Below are 23,121 nucleotides of genomic sequence, written 5' to 3' on the forward strand. Positions count from 1 at the left end.
AGTACTTATTTTGCATAGAAAACATCACATAGCTCATCAGAGGAGATTAACATTTTCTAAATGTTTTAAAAATGGAAAGATAAAATTTCTCAGATTGCTGAAGAAAAAGTATGCCTTTTAAAGGTAATTGCCAAAATGTCAAAAAAGATCAATGCAGATGTTTTTTTTTTTTCTTTTTTTGAGACAGAGTCTTGCTCTGTTGCCCAGGCTGCCAGGCTGGAGTGCAGTGGCACGATCTCAGCTCACTGCAACCTATGCCTCCAGGTTTAAGCTATTCTCTGCCTCAGCCTCCCAAGTAGCTGGAATTACAGGTGCCTGCCACCACACCCACCTAATTTTTGTATTTTTTAGTAGAGATGGGGTTTCACCATGTTGATCAGGCTGGTCTCAAACTCCTGACCTCGTGATCCACCCGCCTCGGCCTCCCTAGTGCTAGGATTATAGGCAGGAGCCACTGCGCCTGGCTGATCAATGCAGATTTTATTAAAGCATCACAAATTATTAAAACATTGTTTAAAGCTCTATTTTCTCAACTTGTTACTAGATTATAAGAACTGTCATGTTATTTCTGGTAAAAACTTAGAACTGAGTTTTAAAAGACTGCCAAAGACCTATGATGTATGATTTAGTTATGAGCCATGATGGAGGGATGAAGTGCCAAGATAGGTATTTGGTAGATAGTTTTAAGATCATTCCTGATGGATTCTTACTGTTTGATATTCATATACTTGTGTACTTCCCTCCTACATGGAGAGAGACGTCTTGTGTAGTAAGAGATGTCTTGTGTTTTGACTAATAAGATATTGTAAATAATATGGAGTGCGGCTTCCAAAGCTATTTCATAAAATAGATAATAGGAGTAAGTACGCTGCCAAATCATGAGGATATTCAAGCAGCCCTATGAAATGTCCTTGTGGTAAGAAATTGACACCTCCCAACAGTAGCCACATGAGGGGGCCATCTTGGAATCGGATCCTCCAGTCTCAGTCAAACCTTCAGTTGCTGGCAACCCTGATCAGCATTTTGATTGCAACCCCATGAAATGCAGTGAGCCAGAAATAACCAGCTATGCTATCCTTGAATTCATGACTCGAATAAACTGTGTGAGATTATACATTCATATTGTGTGTTTTAGTTGCTAAGTTTCAGAGTAATTTCTTATGCTGCATTTGAAACTAATATAAGTACATATTGATATTTTAGGACTAAATCTAACACTTAATGGCTGAATAGCATTGTTATAATCACTTATTTTTTCTGGAACTCAGTTTTCCTATATTATTTATATATATATTCATTTTATAAAGATGAAAATATTATATACAATATATTCATTTTATATAAATTACAAAGTATAATTAGGTGATCTCTAGGATCCCTTTTAAATATAATAGCTATGCATATTTCTGAATCTATGAGACTGTGAGCATTGTATTAATCAGGTCCAATGATTTGATTTGAATGTTGAAGAAAGACTGCTTGATTATTCATTATCTTATTCTTATTTTATATTTAAAATTACTTAAAAGATAAACTATTTTTAAAAGTAGACTTAGCAAGCTAACTCATACCGAAATAATTTTATAATTGACATGTCTATTACAGAAGATACATTTTATATGTATATATATATATAGAGAGAGAGAGAGAGAGAGCCTATTGATAAGAGGTAAGGGAAAATGAATTAGCATATGATTCTTAACTCTGGAGATACATTGAAATCACCTGGAGAACTTTTTAAAAAATACTTATGCTGGGATCCCAACCTAGACCAATTAAATCAGAATTTCTGGTAATGGAATGAGGAAATCAGAAAAATTGTTACAGATTTCATAGATAATTCCAATTTATGGCCAATATGAAGAACTGCTGAGACACTTGAAGAAAGTAGTTACTAGACTGAAGAAATTTTGGAGTGGATCTACTGTGGGAAAAAAAAAAATAGAATACCCAGAAGTTCTGCTGGAAACCTCTCCATGGGAGGAGGAAATGCTGGTTCTGGTCACTCAGAGATCATTAACAGAAGGTCTGTTCAACTGCCTATCCTTGGAGTAGTCAAAAAGCTAACTAAGTTCCTGTCGGCAAGAGTGGAAAAAAAAAAGCCTGAGGGGTTCGTGTCCACCTGGTTTAGATACTTATAAGCTAAAGATTATCAATTAAACTGAAAAAATTCCAGAAGTTGAGTGTAGAGAAGAGGATATAACCTGTGTGGGCAGGTAATAGAGCATTGCCAGAATATTAGAATACTTATTATTAAAATAAAATAAAAAATATTTTGTTATCTTTTATGGAATAATTTGGAAAGTTTTCTTTTTTGTCTTTTATTTTCTTTTTAAGTAAGAGCTTATTTTCTAATCACACCGAAAATGTATAGGTCAGCTTTTTGGATCTGATGATTCTCATGATCTCTGAAGACAAACAGTGCCATCTGGCCACAAGCCTTAAATAGCAATAACATCTTAGTCACTTTGCAAATACCATTAAAAGGAAGCATCTCACATAGCAAAAATAAAGCATAACATTATTTAAAAATTAAATGATAAGTTGGAGAATTTTGCAGCATCAAAAATAAGGGACTCATAAATCAAAAGGAAAATGGATTATACCAGGAAAAATATGAGCAAAAGACATGAGCTGGTAAATGAGAAAAGAAAAAAATACAAATGGTCAGTAAGTACACAAGAAGATATTCACCATCATAAGTAAATAAAAGTTTGCTATTTGTAGGATTAGCAATTTTTAAAAATGACTATATTGGTAATATGATGCTTCCATTTGAAATGTCCCAAATGACATTAGAAATGGGATAAGTATTATAGCATATGTATATACATATACATATGTATATGAGAGTATAGCACATCTATAAAATGAAATATTTAGCCATTAAAAATAATGTTATAGTGAGTATTAATTGAAACTATTATCCAAGGAAAAAATCCAAGTTATATCCAAGTTATGGATAATGAGAGCCTGAATATATAAATGGACAATGGCCAGCCCATATACAACAACAGAATTCTGACCCACTACCTATAAACCACCCGCCTGGGAAGATAGACTACAATCTCTGCAGCAAATAATTTGAAACAACGAGGGTTTTGTTAATGACTGTCTTTTCTTTTTCTTCTTCTTCTTCCTCTTCTTCTTCTTCTTCTTCTTCCTCTTCTTCTTTCTTCTTCTTCTTCTTCCTCTTCTTCTTTCTTCTTCCTCTTCTTCTTTCTTCTTCTTTCTTCTTCCTCTTCTTCTTTCTTCTTCTTCTTCCTCTTCTTCTTTCTTCTTCTTCTTCCTCTTCCTCTTCTTCTTTCTTCTTCTTCTTCTTCCTCTTCCTCCTCCTCCTCTTCTTCCTCTTCCTCTTCTTCTTCTCTCTCTGACTCTATACACATCTTTGTCTGTGCTTCTAGCTTTGAACCATCCAGAGAAAGTCAAATATGTTTCACTAACTAATCACATAATATGCCCAGCTTCTAGTTAGCCCTCTTCCAGCTTCCCCATGCCAAAAAGCTTCAATCAGAGCATACCTAAAACTTTTTCCCACTACAAAGCTTTCCCACTCCTCTCCTTCCCTTTGAGTCTCTGCCAAATGCAAGTGACAGTGGCTGAGTCCCTTGCTATAGCAAACTGAATAAATAGCCTCTGTTTGTTCTCATTTGGGAGATCTTTGATTGTTTCCACAATATCATAATAGTATGTAAACTTCGTGGGTGTTTGTGTGAGCAAGATCTGTTTCTGAGTGTAAGCCTGAGGAAATTTCTGAAAGATAGTCACTAAGATATTAAACTTAGTTATCTTTTGGAGGTGAGGTGCAGGGCTATTTTTACTTTAACATATTTTGCATTTGCATTTTTCAATGAGCACATACAGTTTATGTAAATAGAAACAAAATCATCATAAGTGTACAAATAAGTTTATCATTATGTTTAATATTGTTAGACTAAAAATCATGTATATAAAACATATTTCTATCCATATATGAGGTATGTGATGGTATTCGGTTGGTTGGACTTTTCCTTTTCTCAATCATTCTCTAAAGGTAAATTTTCCATATTGGGTGTCCGAAAAGTTTTAGTCTGATGAATATTCTTTAAATATGAAAAATAGACTAGTTGAGAAATATATTTTTAATTATACAAATGATTAATATGTGTTAACCATAAGGGGACTCTCTGATTCAATAGTCTCCATTATTCAGCCATAACTCAAATAGCTATTATCATTCCAGAGCTAGAAAAAAATCCCCTTAGATTAATAAACATAAATCTTTATGGTCATCAATTTCCCCTGATGTTTCTTTAACAAAGGCCAGAAAGATTAGATTTTTGAAGGGAGCATTGCTCATTTCTGTCAACATCTGATTATTTATCCTCCTTAGTTAAACAAAACCCTGGTTATGACAAAGGCTAAACTTTGAATAAATCTGCAAATTTAAATTATACAGCTGAGGGAGACAAGAAAGCATAAATAATAGGGCCAACTTTTTTCACCTGAGCAGAATCTTGTTCTTCCTAATTAAAGGTGATGCTACTGAGCCAGTCACAGGAGGAAATATGCTTAATCTATTTCGAGGCAATGAGTTTCTGCTGTTGCATCTATCCTTTATTTCCTGGTCTCCCTTTTGACCTTTTCATCCACAGCACATGGGACAGGTACTAGGGTCCCATGAGAAAGACAAATGGCCAAAAAACACAGATCTTACAGAACTTACATTCCATTCTGCACCATTGCGTTTTGATTTTCATATTGATAATATTGTCATGAGGACTAAACAAATATATATATGTGTGTGTGTTTATAGGAGTATACATATATGTATGTATATCTGTGTATAAATCTGTATATATATACACGTGCAAAGTATTTAGAAGGCAGGCATCCTTTAGCCAAACATTACGTATATAATAATTACTGCTATTGTTTCATGTTCCAAATTATTTTGCAATTAACTCTGATATACGCTAACATATGACCAGTATGTTCCCTTTTCTCAGCTTGGAGTACAGAACAAGACTCTATTTCCTTTACTGTTAAAATTATAGTAATTTTTTAACTCTAATGAATTAATACAGTATTTAATACTACAGGGCCTCCTACTGCAAATTGCCAGGATCCCACACAGTTGCTTGTGCTGGTCCAAGAATCAGTCTTCCTGTGGCTTCCTCATGGCAGGAGAACTCAGCTGTGCCAGCAAAACCATCGCCTGCAAACATTGACCCTAAGTAGCCCTGTGTGCCGGGCCTGGTTCCTCTGCACTAAGCCCAAGTCTGGTTTCACAGCCATAAGCAGCTTATGGGAACAGGTTAGCGCAAGTCTCCATCTGCCTCAGGAATCCTCTAAGGTAGCAGAGGTCACTACCAAGACAAAATTTTCCCTCCCCAAACCACCACAAAGGACAAAAGCTTAATTACAAAGAGCTACTCTAAACGTCCTTTCTACACCAAAGAGATTCTTCCCCTAAAGTAAAACAAAAAATTCAATTCTGAAGCCCCAAAGCAGGGAGCAAATTTTAAATGATGGCACAGAGGTTTAACATAAATAAATCAATTGACGATTAGAAAAATGAATAAATGAAGTGAGGAGTAAAGTAAAATGTGGGACGTAACTTTCCACCGAGTAACCTGATACACGTGTATCTTGGTTGACAAGAAAAATATTAAACGAGGCTCATTCTTCTCCATTGTTCTGTCTTATATGTTGTAGATATGTCAGTCAGGTAAAAAAACTATGGATATTTATGCCTTTTGGTGGAAAAGGGATTATTTCCAGTTTGCATATTTCCTGCAAATGTCTGTATTAGAGTTCTCCAGAGGGACAGAACTAACAGGAGAGAGAAGGAGAGAGATATATAGGAGTTTATTAGGGAGAATTGGCTCACAGGTTTACAAGATGAAGTCCTCTAAATGATAGGCCATCTGCAAGCTGGGGAAAGAGAGAAGCTGGTGTTCGCTCAGTGCAAGTCGGAATGCCTGAAAACCAGGGAAGCGGAGAGTGCAGCCTGCAGTCTGTGGCTGAAGGCCCAAAAGCCCCCGGGAAGCCACTGCTGCAGTTCTCAGAGTCCAAGACCAAAGAACCTAGAGTCTGATGTCCAAGAGCAGGAGGAGCAGAAGTAAACACCCAGCAAGGAAAGAAGTCTCAGCAAGCAAAAGAATCCTACCTTCTTCTGCCTGCTTTGGTCTAGCCGTGAGGCAGCCGATTGGATGGTGCCCACTCACATTGAGGGTGGGTCTTCGTCTCCCAGTTCACTGACTCAAATGTCAATCTCCTCTGGTAATGCCCTCACAGACACACCCAGAAACAATGCTTTAACAGCCACCTAGGCATTCTTTAATCCAATCAAGTTGATACCTAATATTAACCATTACAATGTCTTCCACAATCTTAGGAATGGTTCGTTCCTTCCTTATCATTGCATTTTTAAACACACCCGTTGCCCAAGCTGTATCCTCATCCCAACCTCACAGAAGTGTTGTGAAATTATTCGATTTACCTGTTTTGAAATATCTTGCTCATTTCCTCAATAATTTTAATATTCTGAAGGACAGATCTCTATTTCCATTTCTTTGTATACTTCTCACTTTTTGAAGTGTTCACCATGAAACTAATTAATTTGTTTAATTTCTGATTTCAGTGTGTGTCCCAAAGTCACAGTTTTGTGCCTAAAAACACAACAGCTGTTTTCATTGATAAAAGCATGTCAAAATGCACTGGCCACACTGATCTATTTCCAAGTTTATAAGCACAACTAGAAAACTGCAGCCAGTTCATTCAATGTGAGCATCTTGATGTTCCTGAAGTTCAGCTTTGCTAATTCGATCTGCTGGTATTGTATTTATTTCAAACCAATGCCTGAACAAGTATCACACAAGCTGAACTCAATTATCAGTTGGAGAGATACTCTCCTCCCTTATCCCCTCTTGGTAATCTAGTCATATGCTCAACTCTGTACTCTCCTTCTCAATGTAGGATCAGTTCCGGGGTCTAGATATAGGGAAGCAGCTGGCCAGAATTTTTCCCTTTGCCCGTTCACACTTCTGAGTCCTTCTCTGTCCGATGTTAAAGATGAACAAGAGTACTTCCCAATCCATTAGCCCTCCAAGCTTGCCTTAGCACGAAGCCCTGGGGCAGAGAACATGTTGTGGTAACAGCAGGATAATGGAAACGAGACTTGAAGACAGGTATGAAACTTTGTAAATGCTAATTCTTTTAAACCAATTCTTTCTTCTTCAATGGCTCAGCTATGTCATTAAACAAAAAGACTGGGATGGTTACAGTCTCCCCATCCCCCTCTTAAGGGTGACAATGAAGACTATCTTTTTGTGCTTGCCTGTGAAGATTTCAGCTACCTAATGAATTCCTTTGAAGTGAAAGCTTGTCTTTCTTCACTTTGTTATCTATTTTCTTGATGAAGGTAATCCTTGGAAAATAATTTAAGTAAGTCTTGAATAGTAGTGATTTTTAAAGGCTTTTGCTGAATATTTGTGTAGCTAAAATAGTTGCCATTAAAAATTCAGGAAAGGGTCATGGAGATTTGGCCTTGGCAAGTTCCTCTTCGCCTTTATTCAAGGATGATGGAAAATAACAACAACAACAACAAAACAAACCCAGAATGTTCATATGGCTGCATGTAACCAATGAGAGAAAAATAATACAGGACATAGTAGACATGACTGGGGTGCAGACACTTATTAGATACTCACTATGTTGGTATGGTATCTTCTCAAATGCACCCTTTCTGTTAAAGTATAGGAGAACACGGGTTATATTTGAGACTGAGTGATTTGATCATTGCGTTTGCTTTGGGCATCAAGGGAAGACAATTTGCATTGTTGGGAGGAGGGTGTCCACACATCAGACTCTAGCACTAGGATGTAACTTCCGAGAAACTCTGAATGGGGAGAGATTTTTGATATCTGTTTTGCCCTGCAACAGGCTGGGATGGGGATTTGCTCATTTCTGTGTCAGATCCAACAATAGATTTGATATCCTCTAGGCCTCAAGAAATAATAAACACAAAGATAACTAAAGTAACTCTCACACAGCTTTTTGAAAACCCAAAACAGTATAACCATTAAAACTTTCAAGAAATCTAGGATCCGCTGCACTGAGTATTAATCAGGTACTTATGTCACATAGATGTCTAAACTAAATTAGCATTTTTATAGATATAGATAGTTTTGGTTTCTTTTTAGTTGAGGTCACACTTTTTCTATTATTCAAGGGACACACTTCTGGATATCAGGATGGATGGGCATAAAGTATAAAGCATATGAAAATGTTTTTTCAAAACTTTACTATTATTCAACCCAAGAGATGATATAATATCTTGTCATTTTTCTCAGTAGATTAAAAAGAAAAATGACCAATGTTTTCTCTAGTAAATTATTTCAAAAGGATTTAATCAGTCTCTCTGAAGTATTAAGATGTATTATGTCATACCTGGCAGAGAGATCCCTGAGACCCTTTTAAACCACCCTTAGTACATTTTGTGACTTTTGTTACAATAGCTTGAGTATTGTTATTGACTTGTTTTTTTTCTGGTAACACCGCTGAAACGTTCCACAGGCCAAATGTATTCATTTGGTTTATCCCCAGATAGATGCAGTAAACAGGTGCCTTATATCAAAATGACAATGTATCTCTCATGGGCTATACTTGCTGGTGTAGGTATTTTTTGTTTTAAAAGCTAATAATAAAAGCTCTTCTCTGAAATGCAAGACCCATATATAAATTAAGCATAGCTATAGGGTGAGTGTCTTTGAATTATCAGTGAAAGGATATTTTAATATAAATTTAAAACATTTTAGTTTGCAAAAAAAGTACTGAGTTGCATCAAAAATTAATTAATTAGAAAAACAAGTAATAACAAATCAAACTAAAAGATGGCAAGAAGATTTTATAACACACAATTTAAAAATAAAGCACAAAAGAGGAATTACAAATTTCTGTTAAAACATTATTTGTACTTATATGAGTTGACAGCCATTGGAAAAAAAAATGAACCAACTTCTCAAATGAGGATTTTCACCTTGAACTAAAAATCTACTCCTTATAACTAGTTTACCTCTCTCAATAAATGATCAGACCTCCTATATATGAACATATTACTGCTTTATATATATGGTTATATCCGTAACAAGACACTCTAAAGGTATGTATTTTGAGAGGAAAATAAGCCTACCTCAAACTAGAAATATTTTGTACAGCAAAGGAGACAACTAACAGGGTGAAAAGGCAACCTACAGAATGGGAGAAAGTATTTGCAAATCCTATAACTGAGAAGGGGTTAATTCCCAAAATATATAAGAAAACTCTTACAACTCAACAGCAAAAATACAAAACAAAACAAAAAAACCACCTAATAACTAGATTAAAGTAATGGACTAAAGGTTTAAATAGACATTTCTCCAAAGAAGACATACAGGTAGCCAACAGGTATATGAAAGGATGTTCAACCGCACTAATATAATGAGGGAAATTCAAATCAAAGTCACAAAGAGATATCATCTCACATCTGTTAGGTTATCAATTATATATATAAAAAAGACAACAAGTGAGGATGTGGAGAATTTGGAAACCTTGTACACTATAGGTGGGAATGCAAGATGGTGCAGCTGCTATGAAAAGCAGGATGGAGTTTCCTCAAAAAATTCAAAATATGATCCAGTAATCTCAATTTGGGGTATTTATTTAAAAGAATGGAAATCAGGGTCTTGCAGTGATATTAGCACTTCCATGTTCATTGCAGCACTATTCACAATAGTCAAGAAGTAGAAACAACCTACATGTCTATGGAAAGTTAAGTGGATAAAGAAAATGTATATAAATACAAAGGCATATTATTCAGTTTTTAACAAAGAAGAAAATTTTGTAATGAGAAAACATAGATGACTCTTAAGAACACTATGCTGTATGAAGTAAGCCAGTCACAGAATAACAGATGCTTCATGATTCCACTTCTATGAGATATCTAAAAAAGTCAAAATCATGGCATCAAAAAGTGGATTAGTGGTTGCCAGAGGCTGGGGAGATAAATCAAGTGCTAATTAATGAGCATAAAGTTTCAGTTAAATAAGATAGGTAAGTTGTAGAGATCTGCTGTTCAGCACTGTGCCTATGGTCAGCAATACTTCAGATTTCCTATTAAGTGTTCTTAGCACAATAAAATTTTTAAAAATTAAAAAAATATATATTGTAGTCACTCTGACATGCATTTAAGGGTACAGTTTTTGGTTCAGGTATTAGAAATTTATATATCGGTTTTGCATTGTATATTTTCTTTAATGATAAATGACAAAGACAGTTTCTGAAAACAATGCTGCTGATGAATTTGACAAGCCATGGCTATAAAGAGCAAAATTAGCATGGATTTGCCTGTTCAGCGCTGGATTCACTCATCTCAACATAAAAACACATTTACCCTGTTATTCTCCTTCCTCACCAGTGTAGCAGGTATGAACCTAATCATACAAACTGAAAGGTACAAAAAAGTAATTTTTGCATAAGTCTTTCTACTCAGTGCTTCCATTCCACCAGGAGTAACTGAATTTTATTATCAGTTAATCTCCTTCCCCTAACATATATATGTACTTTAATATACTTTATCTTGAGTTGTTTCTAATCTTTTGGAATTTATGCATTAGCAGTCTCCAGAGAAGCAGAACCATAGGATGTTTTAAAATATTATATGTTATATATAATATATACATATTTATATATGTGTTATATATGTTTACATATTATGTATTGGTTCCAAGGCCTCCTGGGAATATCAAAATCTATGGATGCTCATGTCCCTGATACAAAATGCCAGAGTAACTGCGTGTAACCTATGCACACCCTCTGGTGTACTTTAAATCATCTCTAGTTTGCTTATAATACCTAATACAGTGTACATACTATGTAAATAATAGTTACACTGTACCGTTTAGGGAATAATGACAAGAAAAAGTGCATATGTGTTAAGTAGAGAAGCAATACTCTTTTTGAATATTTTCAATTCAAGTTTGGTTGATTCCACAGATGTGGAACCTACCAATGTGAAGTGCTGGCTGTATGTGTTTATGTGTTTTTGAGTGTGTGTGTGTGTGTGTGTGTGTGTCTTGTCCCTTCTCTGCGTGTATGTCTCAATTGTAGTAAAAGTAAAGGAAAAGTAGAATATATAATTTTCATTTATTCTGTAAAGTAAACATACCATCTTTGAAAATAGTGAGCTAAGAGGGAAATAGCTTCAAATCTATAACAAAATTACTTAGGAGGCTTCTAGCCATTTCGAAGCTCTCTTGATCATTACTGAAGCTTATTTGGTGGCTTCTTTCTGTTATCCTGATTCCCCATACCATGGTAGGAATCAAGTCTCTCTAAAGTTTAACCTGTGCTCCCTGAGGGATGCTTCTTGAAGGCTCATGTGCTCCTGGAACTTTTGATGACTGTATAAGCAAAGGCAGGGTTTTTTTTTTTTAGGTGTCCACCAGATGTCACTGTTCACCAGAAAAACGTGACTAACGCTGCAGCATTGAAACAAACAGGTGTTAATAATGATTTGATTCTTAAAATAGAAAAGGAAAAAAATAAAAAAAAAAAACAAGTAGATCTACATTACAACCCGATCTTAGGCAGGAAGTAAAAACTTTCTTTACTTTAGGCTAGAAAATGATCATCCTTTAGGAGCTTTTAATTTCACTAACATTTTACCCCTATTAGGAGACAGGGCAGGTGCTTCTAGTCACAACTATTTAGTGATAGACCACTGAAAGCTAGAACCTGGGTTCTACCCTAGGCCTTGTAATCAGAACATCAATGTTACTGGTCAAGTTCCTTAAACAATTCGTCTTCATTTCTTTTCCTATAAAACAAGAAGTCAGATATTCCCACCAGTCAAAAAATATTATAATCTTGCTTCAAAAACTTTAGATAAATACCTTCTCAAGGTTACCATTTCTTGAGTCTGCACTATAACCCAAGTCCTTTTTTACTCCTTAACACAAGCCAGAGTGCACTAGCACATGAAGCATTCCCTGGGCTGCTTCATTCAACATGAAAAAATAAGAGTCCCACTGACCATATTACCTTCTGCAGCCATTTTTCTTTCTATTGTCCAACAATATGTTTTCAGTTTAAATGTTTACAGTTTAAAAATAGAACTATGTAGGATTTATTAAAATATTTTTTGCTCTGATATTTATTTATGTTTGGGAAAACTGACTTGGCTTACTTTTAAATAAATTTCTTAATAAAACAAAATATAATAGATATATGCATATACATATATGAATAAGAAAATGAATACATATACCTACCATTCGGCTTTACAAAGTAGAACACCTTTTGTACCTCTTTACCCAAATAAATTTAGTCATTTATTTCACCAAGATCATTTAAGAACTAAATTTGCTGCACCAAAGTAAAGACTTTTCTCCTAACGAAAGGTTATTTCTTTCTGGATTTTAGCTTTTAGTAGCTTCATACTCTTAGTTCACCCACAAGCCTCAGAAGACAAGCAGAGGCAATAATGTGTCCCTATAGGCTCCCATCCCATTCTTTTTCTCCTCTTTGAGAGAAAAATTAAGTTCATACTGAAACTGCATTTTTTCTACTGCCTGTAATCTTTTATTTATTCAAAATTATAATAGATTGTAATTCTCATCTATGTTAAAATACAAATTAGTTCATTTTTCGGGGAACCTTGAGGCAGAGAGTAGAGCAATAAGAAAAGAGGAAGGTTTCATGGCTCACATCTGTAATCCCAGCACTTTGGGAGGCCGAGGTGGGCGGATCACGAAGTCAGGAGATCAAGACCATCCTGGCTAACACGGCGAAACCCTGTCTCTGCCAAAAATACAAAAAATTAGCTGGGCATGGTGGCACGCACCTGTAGTCCCAGCTACTCAGGAGGCTGAGGCAAGAGAATCACTTGAACCCGGGAGGTATAGGTTGCCGTGAGCCAAGATCGCGCCATTGCACTCCAGCCTGGGCGACAGAGCGAGACTCTGTCTCAAAAAAAAAAAAAAAAAAAAAAGAAAGAAAGAAAAAGAAAAAAGGAAAGAGGAAGCTCTCATAGTGACCCAGAGAGGAGAAAGCGCTAATGGGAATTTTCTAAGCAGGAAAATTTCTGAACCTAGAATGTGTAAATGTAACATTTGAATTTATCATCATGAGCTTTCAATTGGGGCTTATACTGTGTGAAGGTGGCATTCTGGGGTGAGAAGAGCCTAGGGCAGCAATAGAGCCAGACAAAAAACAGAGAGATAATTCAGATGAAGAAGGGATCTGAGTAAGAAATGATGGGGAACAATGTAAGCTCCCTGTTTCTCAGTCTATTTAAGGTAGTTTTATGAGTCATTTAAATTTAAACATTATTAAAAAGGTTTTCCTCAGTGTAAGAGTTGAAGAAAGAAGACTGAAACATGAAAAGTGGCTCAACAGTCAAAGACAGGTTTCTTTTGGAGAATAAACATGAGAGGGGCTTCTGGCCAAGTTAGGTCAGGAGCCTTCTCTCTTACAGACTAAGGGTATTTAAGGGTTCAGGGGCTCATGAGGAGGGGATGCCTTATCCTCCTAGGGTCCCACGGTTCAGTTAGGACCAGGTGTGCTGTCTGTATATAGCAGAGTTTTCATCAGCTCTCACCCCATTCCCAGACCACATCAGCCAACTTTTAGTCTGTGTCTCTTTGTCTTGCTTATCTGGGAGGGAGAGGTTTTGTGTCTGCTCCCATACATTTTCCTGTAGCTTCAGGCATCCCCGCAGTCCCCTCCCCACCTGCTCACCTGCCGTAGTCTGCTTTTAGCTTACCTATCTTAGTGCACCTAAAGGGAAAGGAATGTGCTTATTAGGGCCCACTGTTTTACTGGGGCCCACTGTATAAGTGTGAAGTTTGGTGATTACTCAAGAGACTTTCCCCCCTCCTTCTGTGCCCAAGCTGTCGTATCTGTGTTTTACTGTCTGCTTTTTCTGGCTGCTTGTTGTTAGAAGAGAAGTGATCTCCTTGAAATGCATGAAGTTAGAAAGGGAGCTGGTACTTAAATTGGTGGTGTTTGTCCAAGATGACGGTGCTCCTGCTCTGTCACCCAGCACACTGGAAGATTTCAGATACCCAGAAAGCTGATATCCAAGCTACAGATATGCATAAATAGAACATGCATTTATTGGAAATACCAGAGTGTTTTTTCAAGTGCACACACATGAATGATAAGGTTCACTAATAAAAGCTTTTTGATTCTCTAGGAAACTCATTCTTTGAGCTTCTTTGTGATTTGGTTTCATTCCTTCTGTAGAACTTCTTGGCAAACCTGGAAGGTCAGGGGCATTTGTCTGATTGTTTTAAGCCAGAAAATAAGTTAAACAGTGCATGTCTCAGTTGCTGGCCGCTTTGGCAGCCTCCAAACCAATAATCTCTGCCACCCTTCCAAAGGGTTAAGAACAAGACCATGCTGGAAACTGAGCAGCAATTACATACTGATTGGGAAAATTGCCAGTCATTCCTGGTCTCTGACCCTCTGTACATGGTGTCCAGCTACTTCGCCTTTGAAATTTATACCTTAATCATCCTTCACATTTGACAGTGTTCTAAATTTTTAAAAGCACATTTAAATGCATTATTTCTCTTGGATATTATCCCTACTGCAGACCTAGATTGCTAGGGAAGATAAAATCAACTGTGTTTTGCACATGGGAATCTAGGATAAAGAAAGATAAAACTTCTTGTTTGAGGTCATACAAAACTCAGAGAAAACCTGTATTTCCTGTCTCTAACACAGGTGAGTGTTTAGAACCAGGAAGCTACTTTCTGTCTCTTCACTTCATTACTGAGATTATAACTCACCGAGCCCAAATACCTCTAAGTCCAAAATCAGAGCTATCACTGTTTCCCCTTTCTATCTGCTCTTGCTATGTCTTTTTTTTTTTTTGTCTTTATGCCCTGCGAAATAAGCTCCAGGAAAGTTAGAATAAAATGATGAATTAGTTATTTCTGCAACATAAATAGTGAAATTTGTGATGGGACTTTGAGTCCAACTTCCAAGTTTCCTCCTTAAATAGAAACTTCAGGAATATTATTCACAGAGTTACATGAAATATCACAAATCCAGGTCTATGTGAAATGCTAACTTAGCATTTTCCCAAGTGTGATATTAATGAGTATATTATATTACAAAAAATGATTCCATGTTCAAATTAGTCAAAGTCCTGTGTCAAAGGACCTGCCCCAGTATCTCATATGTGTATATTACTCAGTGATAAGCAGGATGATTAAGGAGTATATTTCCCTAACTTGCTTTCCCACCGAAATATTTTTTAGATAATTTTTTCAGTCCAGATTATTCTGTGTGGGAAGCTAAATTAGAGAAAAGAATGTTGCAATGTCTCCAGTACTTTTTCTTTGTATCATTCTTTCTAAGGAGTTACTGCAGTTTTATGTATTTCAGAATGAAATCAAATGAGAGCTGTATAAAATCTTCAGATAAATTTTGATTAATTGTTTTAATATCTAAAATACACAAAAATTTACTTTTTCTTGATTTGTTAAAGAAATAAAGTGAAGAAATTTAATTTGTAGTATGTGTTTGTGCAAGTCACAAATAGCCCAAACTGTATAGGTTGAACATGGCAGAGTTCTAGTACTCACTGAGGATAAGAAAAAGAATAAAAATGGAAAGGGGAAGTTCACAGAAAACATGTAATTTTCTCCACTATTCTCAGTGGAAAGGCTGCATCCTAAACGATCAGAAATCCTGGTGGGCCTGTTTGCTCCTCCAGCTTCTCTCTGGTCAAGATTGAATTTCCCAATAGTTCAAGACGCTGACTGGGAGCTTATGTTTCTCTCTACAGCTTGCCTTGCACTGATTCTGGAAGCAAATTGAAGATGTCCATTCCCAGATAGAACATATCAGGTTATATTGCAAGCTCAGTGTATCTTTGAAAGGCAATGCTTTAGCTCCTACTTCTCCGGGACTCTTAACAACTGGTGCAGTTATGAAAAGAAACAAAATCACAATCATTTTACTGACATCACATGTGGTGGCAATTAGTCTTAATTCCAAACATTTTTCTAGGACTTTGAAATTTTCAAAGCACTTTCACTTAATCTGAACTCTCATTTCCAATTCATAAGAAGTTATGCACAAGGCATAAGTAATGATATTCTTTTTGCAAGAGATCCAATGACTTGTGCAAAAGAATGTATATCCAAGAGGGGCCAGATCCATGATCTCTGTCTCTCTGTTCAGTGTTTTATTTTTCTTTGTTTTTTCATTACATATACCAACCTACTTCTTGGAATGAGGCACCATTTCTAAGGTAATATCATAATAAATATTTTGGTTACTAGTTTTGACAGTTACTGGGCTAAGCTCTGACTTAAAGACACAATAAACTATATTTACATGTCTCTAGAACTGTGTTAAGAACTTTGTATCAACTTTATATAACAATCATTGAAATTTGTACCATTTTCCTTATATATATATATTAAACTTACATTATTTTTTAAATTCAGGCATTATTACACAAAATAATTTTTTTTGAGACAGGATCTTGCTCTGTTGTCCAGGCTGGAGTGCAGTGACACAGTCTTGGCTCACTGCAGCCTCAACCTCCTGGGCTCAAGCGATCCTCCTGTCTCAACCTCCCCTGTAGCTGGGACCACAGGTGTGTGCCACCATATCTGACTAATTTTTTGATTTTTTTGCAGATGGAGTCTCACATCGTTGCCCGGGGTGGTCTCAAACTCCTAGGCTTCCTCCCAAAGTGTTGGGATGGATTACAAGTGTTAGCCATCACACCTGGCCACAAAATAATCTTAACTATTTGGTTTGGAGTGCCTTGGCAATTGCATATATCCATGTAACCATCACCCAAAACAAGATATAGAATATGTCCATCCTCCCACAGTGTTGTCCTGGACCTCTTTGTGGTTGATTTTCACTCCTCACAACTCTAGACAAACCATTTTTAATTTCTATTACCTTAGATGTTCTTGGGCATCACATTATTATAACCATGGATTATATGCTGTTTGTTCAGGCTTCTCTCATTCAATATTTTTTGATATTTTTTCATGTGATGTGTATTATGGTTTGTTCCTTTTAATTAATGAATAGCATTTCATTGTATTAATAGATCATAAGTTATTTATCTAGTATCCTATTAGTGAACATTTTGATTGTTTCTGCTTTTGACTATTATGAATAAGGCGTCTTTGAACATTCTTGTACCAGCATTTTTGTGGATATATATTTTCACTTTTTTCAGTAAACACCAGCATTAGAATTTCTATGTCATAGGTAGGTATATGTTTAATCTTATAAGAACATGATATTTTTCCATTCCACATTTCCTCCAGAAGCAATGGGTGAAAATTCTGGTTGCCCCAAATCTCCACCCAATTTGATGCTGTCAGTTTATTTAATTTGAATGATTTTGCAAGGTACAGAATGGCATCTTCTTGAAGTTTTACTTTTAGTTTCCCTGGTGATTAATACTGTTGAGAAACTTTACAGGGTCTAGTAGTTATCTGTTTATCTTCTTTTGTAAAATGAGTGTTTAAGATTTTAGTTTAGTATTTTTTCCATTTTTTAATTTATTGTTGATTTTGAAGAGATTTTTTGTGTATTTTATATACAAATCATTTGTCAGATATGTGTTGCAAAAACTTTTTCCTAGTGTGTGGTTTCCCTGTTATAATTATCTTAATGGTATATTTTAATGTGCAATGATTTTTAATTTAATGAAATCCAATTTATCATTTACTTTTTTTATGGTTTGCACTTCTGCAGTTCTGTTTTAAAATTCTTTGTCAACTCCAAGGTTTTGAAGATACTCATCTAAGTAACTTTTTAGAAGCTTTATAGTTCTGCTTTATGTTTAGGTTCATGGTGTATGTTAACTTGTTTTTCGTGTATGAAATCAGGTAGGGTCAAGTCTCATTTCTTTTTCACATTAGGATATTTATCTATTCCAGCACTATTTGTTAAAACGTTACATTCCCCCACTGAATTGTTTTGCTGCCTTTCACTAATTTCAGCTGATTTTATATGTGTGCATCTCTTTATGAACTTTCTATTCCATTGTATTGATTTTTATTTGTCCATCCTTTTCACAATACCACGCCATCTTGATTACTGTATTATTATAGTAACTCTTAACATCAGGCTGCAATGTAAGCTTTCCAACCTTGTTTTTATTTTGCAAAATTGTTTTTATGATTCTAGATCCTTTGAATTTCCATATACGTTTTAGAATTGGCTTGTCTCTTTCCACACAAAAATATCATGCTGATATTTATTTGGGGTTGTGATAAGTGTATAGATAATTTTGGAAAAGAATAGATATCTTAACAGTATGGTGTCCTCTAGTACATGAGCATTGGATAGCTAACAATTTATGTTTTATTCATTTTTTCTCAGCATTGTTTTCTACTTTTCAGAGCATATATTTTTATAATGTTATTGTAAATTATGTATATTATTAGATTTTATTTTCCAAGTATTTGCTACTAGTATATGGGAATACAATTATTTTTACATGTTGACCTTTTATCTTGTGACTTTACTAAATTCGCTTATTAGTTCTTAGAGATTTTTTGATAAATTCTAATTCTGTAGTTTCCTATGCATACAACCATGTCATTGTTGAATAGAGTTTGCTCATTTTCCAATCTGATTGCCTTATATTTAGTTTTTTATTTTCTTATTGCACTGCTAAGGCCTCTTGTACAATCTGAAATAGATACAGCAAACATCCTTGTGGTGTTCTTGATCTTAGGAAAAATGAATTCTACTATTTTACTACTAATTATAATGTTACCTATAGGTTTTCCATAGATGTGTTTCAACAGACTGAAGGAATTCTCTTCTATTCTAATTTTTCTGAGAGATTTTTAATATCTTGAATGCATGCTATTATTAATTTTTAATGCATACTTTGAGATATTTATGTATTTATCTCCCTTATCCTGTTAATATCATGACCTACAATTGACTATTCTCACATGTTAAAACAACAGAGTTCTATTCCAAATGGAGTTTATCTGTATATGTATTACTGGATTTAATTTACTACTTTTCTTAAAGGTTTTATTTCTATGTTTATAAGGGCTATTAAACCATTATTTTATTTCTTTGTAATATCATTGTCAGATTTTGCTAGCAGAGTTATGCTCCATGCCCAAAGAAGTGCAGAGGAGGGAGTGTCTTTCAGTTCTCATGCTCTCCTTTCAGCCTTTGGCACACTCTCTCGTTACACGTGGTGAAGGCCTGCAGGAAAGGTTTGGCAAACAGACTTGCTCTGTGCCTGGGGATCCTTAGTATTGTTTAATGGTAGCCTGTATGAAGCCATTAAACATTGTTAGGTGTTTGACTGCCTATGGTAGTTTTCTTTTACCACTCTGCCTGGGATGAAAGCACCTCTGGTCTCCTCTCTCCTAGAAAAGGCTCATCACTTTCTGGAATTCAGTTTACTTAGTTTTCTTTTCATTGCCAACTCTTGAATGGTTTTTATAAAACTATGATGTTATAGAGTATCCAGCTTGTTCTCCCTGTTAGGGTAGGAGTGATGGTTCCATTGATTTTCTGCTCCAAGATCTCACAGTTTGAAGTTGTTAAGCTTGGATCTGGAACATAGTTCTTATCTGACTCCATTATTCATATTCTGAAAAGATTGTAGATAGTCAAGATTCATAACTTGTACATTTAGAGAAGAAAAAAGGATAAAAAGTTACAGATGTTTCCCAACTGATGATGTTTTGTCTTATGATTTTTGACTTTACAATGATGTGAAAGTATACACATTTGGTAGAACATCAGTAAATGACATGACATATTCTTTATTATAAAATAGGTTTTATGTTAGGCAATTTATCACAACTGTATGCAAGTATGTGTTCTGAGCAGATTTAGGGTAAGCTGCATTAAGCTATGATGTTCGGTTGGTTAGGTGTACCTGTAGTAAATGCTTTTGCCATGTAATATTTTCAGTTTACAATGGGCTTATTGGGACAAAATCCCATTCTAAGTCAAGGAGCACCTGTACATCTATTTTTGAAGACCTCACACTATCTATTTTTACTCTTTCTTGAAGCATAACTGTACATCTAGGCAAGGATTTTCTAAATTAAAACTCTACTTTGACCTTCATTGATCTACCAAGAATTTGAAGGAGTATTCACAGAAGAGTCACTGCTTACTTTCTACTGGATACAAGTTTGAAGAAAAGTCAGCATGCACTCTGCACCTCTTAGAATGAATTGAGCTTTTGCTTAAAATGAAATATGGACATCTGAACTGTTAATTGTGAAGAGAAGGAAATTTTTTTCTATATATTCAATGCTAGGAAGTTGCAATTTCCAGGACGTGAATTTGTATGTATTTGTACAAATGGAAAATTTTTGTTCTAATGTAATGAGAGTAAAATGCAACTCTGGTGTATTTTAAGTGGAAAAATTAATTAACATTAAAAGACAACATATTGTTGTAAGTGGAGGGAAGATTTGTCTTTCTTGTTTTTCTCTGTCATCTCTGGCAGAAGGCAGCCAGGGGACCATTATTTCCTTCTCATTATTAAGGACCCCAAGTACTTTTGGCCAAAGTCACTGGAACACCTTGTTCCCTTCCTGCTGGTCAAATCACCAATTTTTCTCCCTAGCCCCAGGAAATAGGCTTTCTGACACCAATTTCCTATCTGTGAATTCTAAGGTAATTGTTTTGGTTTTTTGAGTTTCAGGGAAAAACTAGGTCTAGAAAATGGAACTTTTTGAGGGGAGGGGGCTAGATGGAGTCTGGTTAAATTTAGAGCATTCTAAGTAGCTGGGAAAATGTAGAATTTACTTAGGAAAGAGCTGAAGAGATTTTAATTTAAAGAGAATAAATGCTATAAAAGTTTACATTCTTTACAATTTGTCACATAATCAGCCTAGAATTGTGAATAGAATAAGTATTCTATATATTTTATTAGCTATAATAGAAAATTTCCTTTAGCTTTGAGTAATTAAATAATATTAGTTAAAATGAATTCCTGTATTTATTCATGCAGCAATCATTTATTACATACTGTGTGCCAAGGGCTTTTACAACGGACTCCAAAATGCTCATTCTTCAGTGAATAAAAAACACATTTAAACATAATGAAAACACAAAATCAAATCATATATACCACGTTCTTTAGGAGCAAAGAGGAAGAAAGTAAACAGGTACCTTTCCACAAGGAGATTGAAGAAGGTTTTAAAGAAGTGAAAGTTGAATGGAATTTGAAACTACATATAAAGGCATAAAGATAGAGGCAACTTCCAGACAAAAGGAATAGGACCTCCTAACTGTGATGCCAAAATAAAGGTATGGATGAGCAAAGGTCTTGGTGTGAACATAGAAATGCATTTCTATGTTTAGTGCAGCTAAATGTGATGGACTTAAGGCTAGAATGAGATGAAGAAATCAAGTAGTGAAGGGATTTCTAAAGTTTGAACTTTATGCTGTAGAAAACAGAGTGTATTGGAGAAATATAAGCTGCTATTAGAGAGACTGAAATTCTTTAATAAAGTAGAAAAGAATATTCTTATAATTACATCTTGCCTAGTACAACAGGGGTAGCTGCCCTGGTTCCCAGCCTGGTGAGTTGCAGAGAGGTGATGGGGGAAGGTTTGGGTGGCCCTATTACTAAAGTTGACACTACTAGCAATTATGTTATTTTAATTTACTCAATCCCCCTCTCTCTCATCATCTTTTTCTCCCTTTCCCTGTCTCTATCTCCATCTCTTTCTAGCCCTATGTCTTCGTGTTAGTCCATTTGCATTGCTGTAAAGAAATATCTGAGACCAGGTAATTTATAAAGAAAAGAGGTTTATTTTGCCTTACAGTTCTGCAGGCTGCACAGGAAATGTAGTGCCAGCATGTGCTTCTGGCGGGGGCCTTAGAGAGCTTGCAATCACAGTGAAAGGCCAAGGGGAAGCTGATGTACCACATGGTAAGAGAGGGAGAAAGGGCAATGCCAGACTTTTTTAAATAACCAGCTCTCGTGAACTAACAGAGCAAGAACTCACTAATTACCATCAGGAGGGCACCAAGCCATTCATGAGGGATCTGCCCCCATGACCCAAACACTTCTTCCCAGGTCACTTCTCCAGCACTGGGAGTCAGATTTCAACATGAGACTTGAAGCGGACACCCATCCAAGTCATATAACTTTTTAAAGAGAAGAAGCTCTTACAGAGTGGCCCAGCTTTGTAGGCATGATCACAAAGACCACACCTTTCTTGGGACAGTACTGCTTGATAAAATTGTGATAATTTTGATCATTTGAATTTAGGGTTTTTTTTTTCAGTATGTGTTATACAAAAGACAAAAACTTCAGAGATACTAATAGAGCAGGATTTGGATGCAGACTTTTGAATCGACAAAGAAAGGGCACACCAGCCGATTTCTAGCTGTGCAATGTTTTGGAGGCATGGATGCAGTTAATCTGTTACAATGATATTTTTTATTTACTTATACATAGAACAAAATGAAGCCATTTCATTTGTGGTTAATTTTAGGTGGCATGCAAAGCAAACAGTGATGTTAGAATTATGTTCTAGCTGGAAAATAAAATAACTTCATTTTTTTGACATTGAAAACGAAAGAAAAGAAACTCTTGCCGCAGCTGCATTTCTATTACCGAATGCGAACATTTTCAGGACCCTAAGGGAACACGAGAGCTCACAGATCCACCTCCTTCATAGCAGTCACTCTTTTCTTCTCACTCAAAGCTCATTTTACTCTGTCTGTCTTTACTGCCATCTAAGATCCCTTTTATGTAAACTTTCATTTTGTATTTTATTTTATTTTGTGGGCAACTGACCAGGTAATTTCCCGGTTTAAAAATATTAAAACACTTTAGTAAAATTTAAGTTCTTGAAAAACAAACAAAATGTCAGCAAGACTTTGAATGTTGACTCTATTTGCTATAAAACCTCATGAACTGGACCAGAATTTTACATCACAGGCTGACCCAAAGTGTTGTTTGATTTATTTTGATATCTTTCTAGTCTTTCTTTTTCATATTTTTTTGATAGCTAGTTGAAATGATCTATTCAAAAAAACCTGGGCCCTTCTAGGCCCTTCGGAGATGGAACAGCTGGGCATGGTGTAGTAGGAAAGGTG

The 23,121-nt window shown here is 35.6% G+C and overlaps 1 annotated feature.

Annotated features, from left to right (window-relative positions):
• Positions 6,737 to 7,404: an enhancer, noted in NCBI's record as "OCT4-NANOG hESC enhancer chr1:187016203-187016870 (GRCh37/hg19 assembly coordinates)". NCBI's record gives its function as "activates a minimal SCP1, AML or CMV promoter by ChIP-STARR-seq in primed H9 embryonic stem cells {active_cell/tissue: H9 hESC(primed)}" and the evidence as "EXISTENCE:reporter gene assay evidence [ECO:0000049][PMID:30033119]".

The sequence above is a fragment of the Homo sapiens genome, chromosome 1 (genome assembly GCF_000001405.40).
Source record: "Homo sapiens chromosome 1, GRCh38.p14 Primary Assembly".
Classification (NCBI taxonomy): domain Eukaryota; kingdom Metazoa; phylum Chordata; class Mammalia; order Primates; family Hominidae; genus Homo; species Homo sapiens.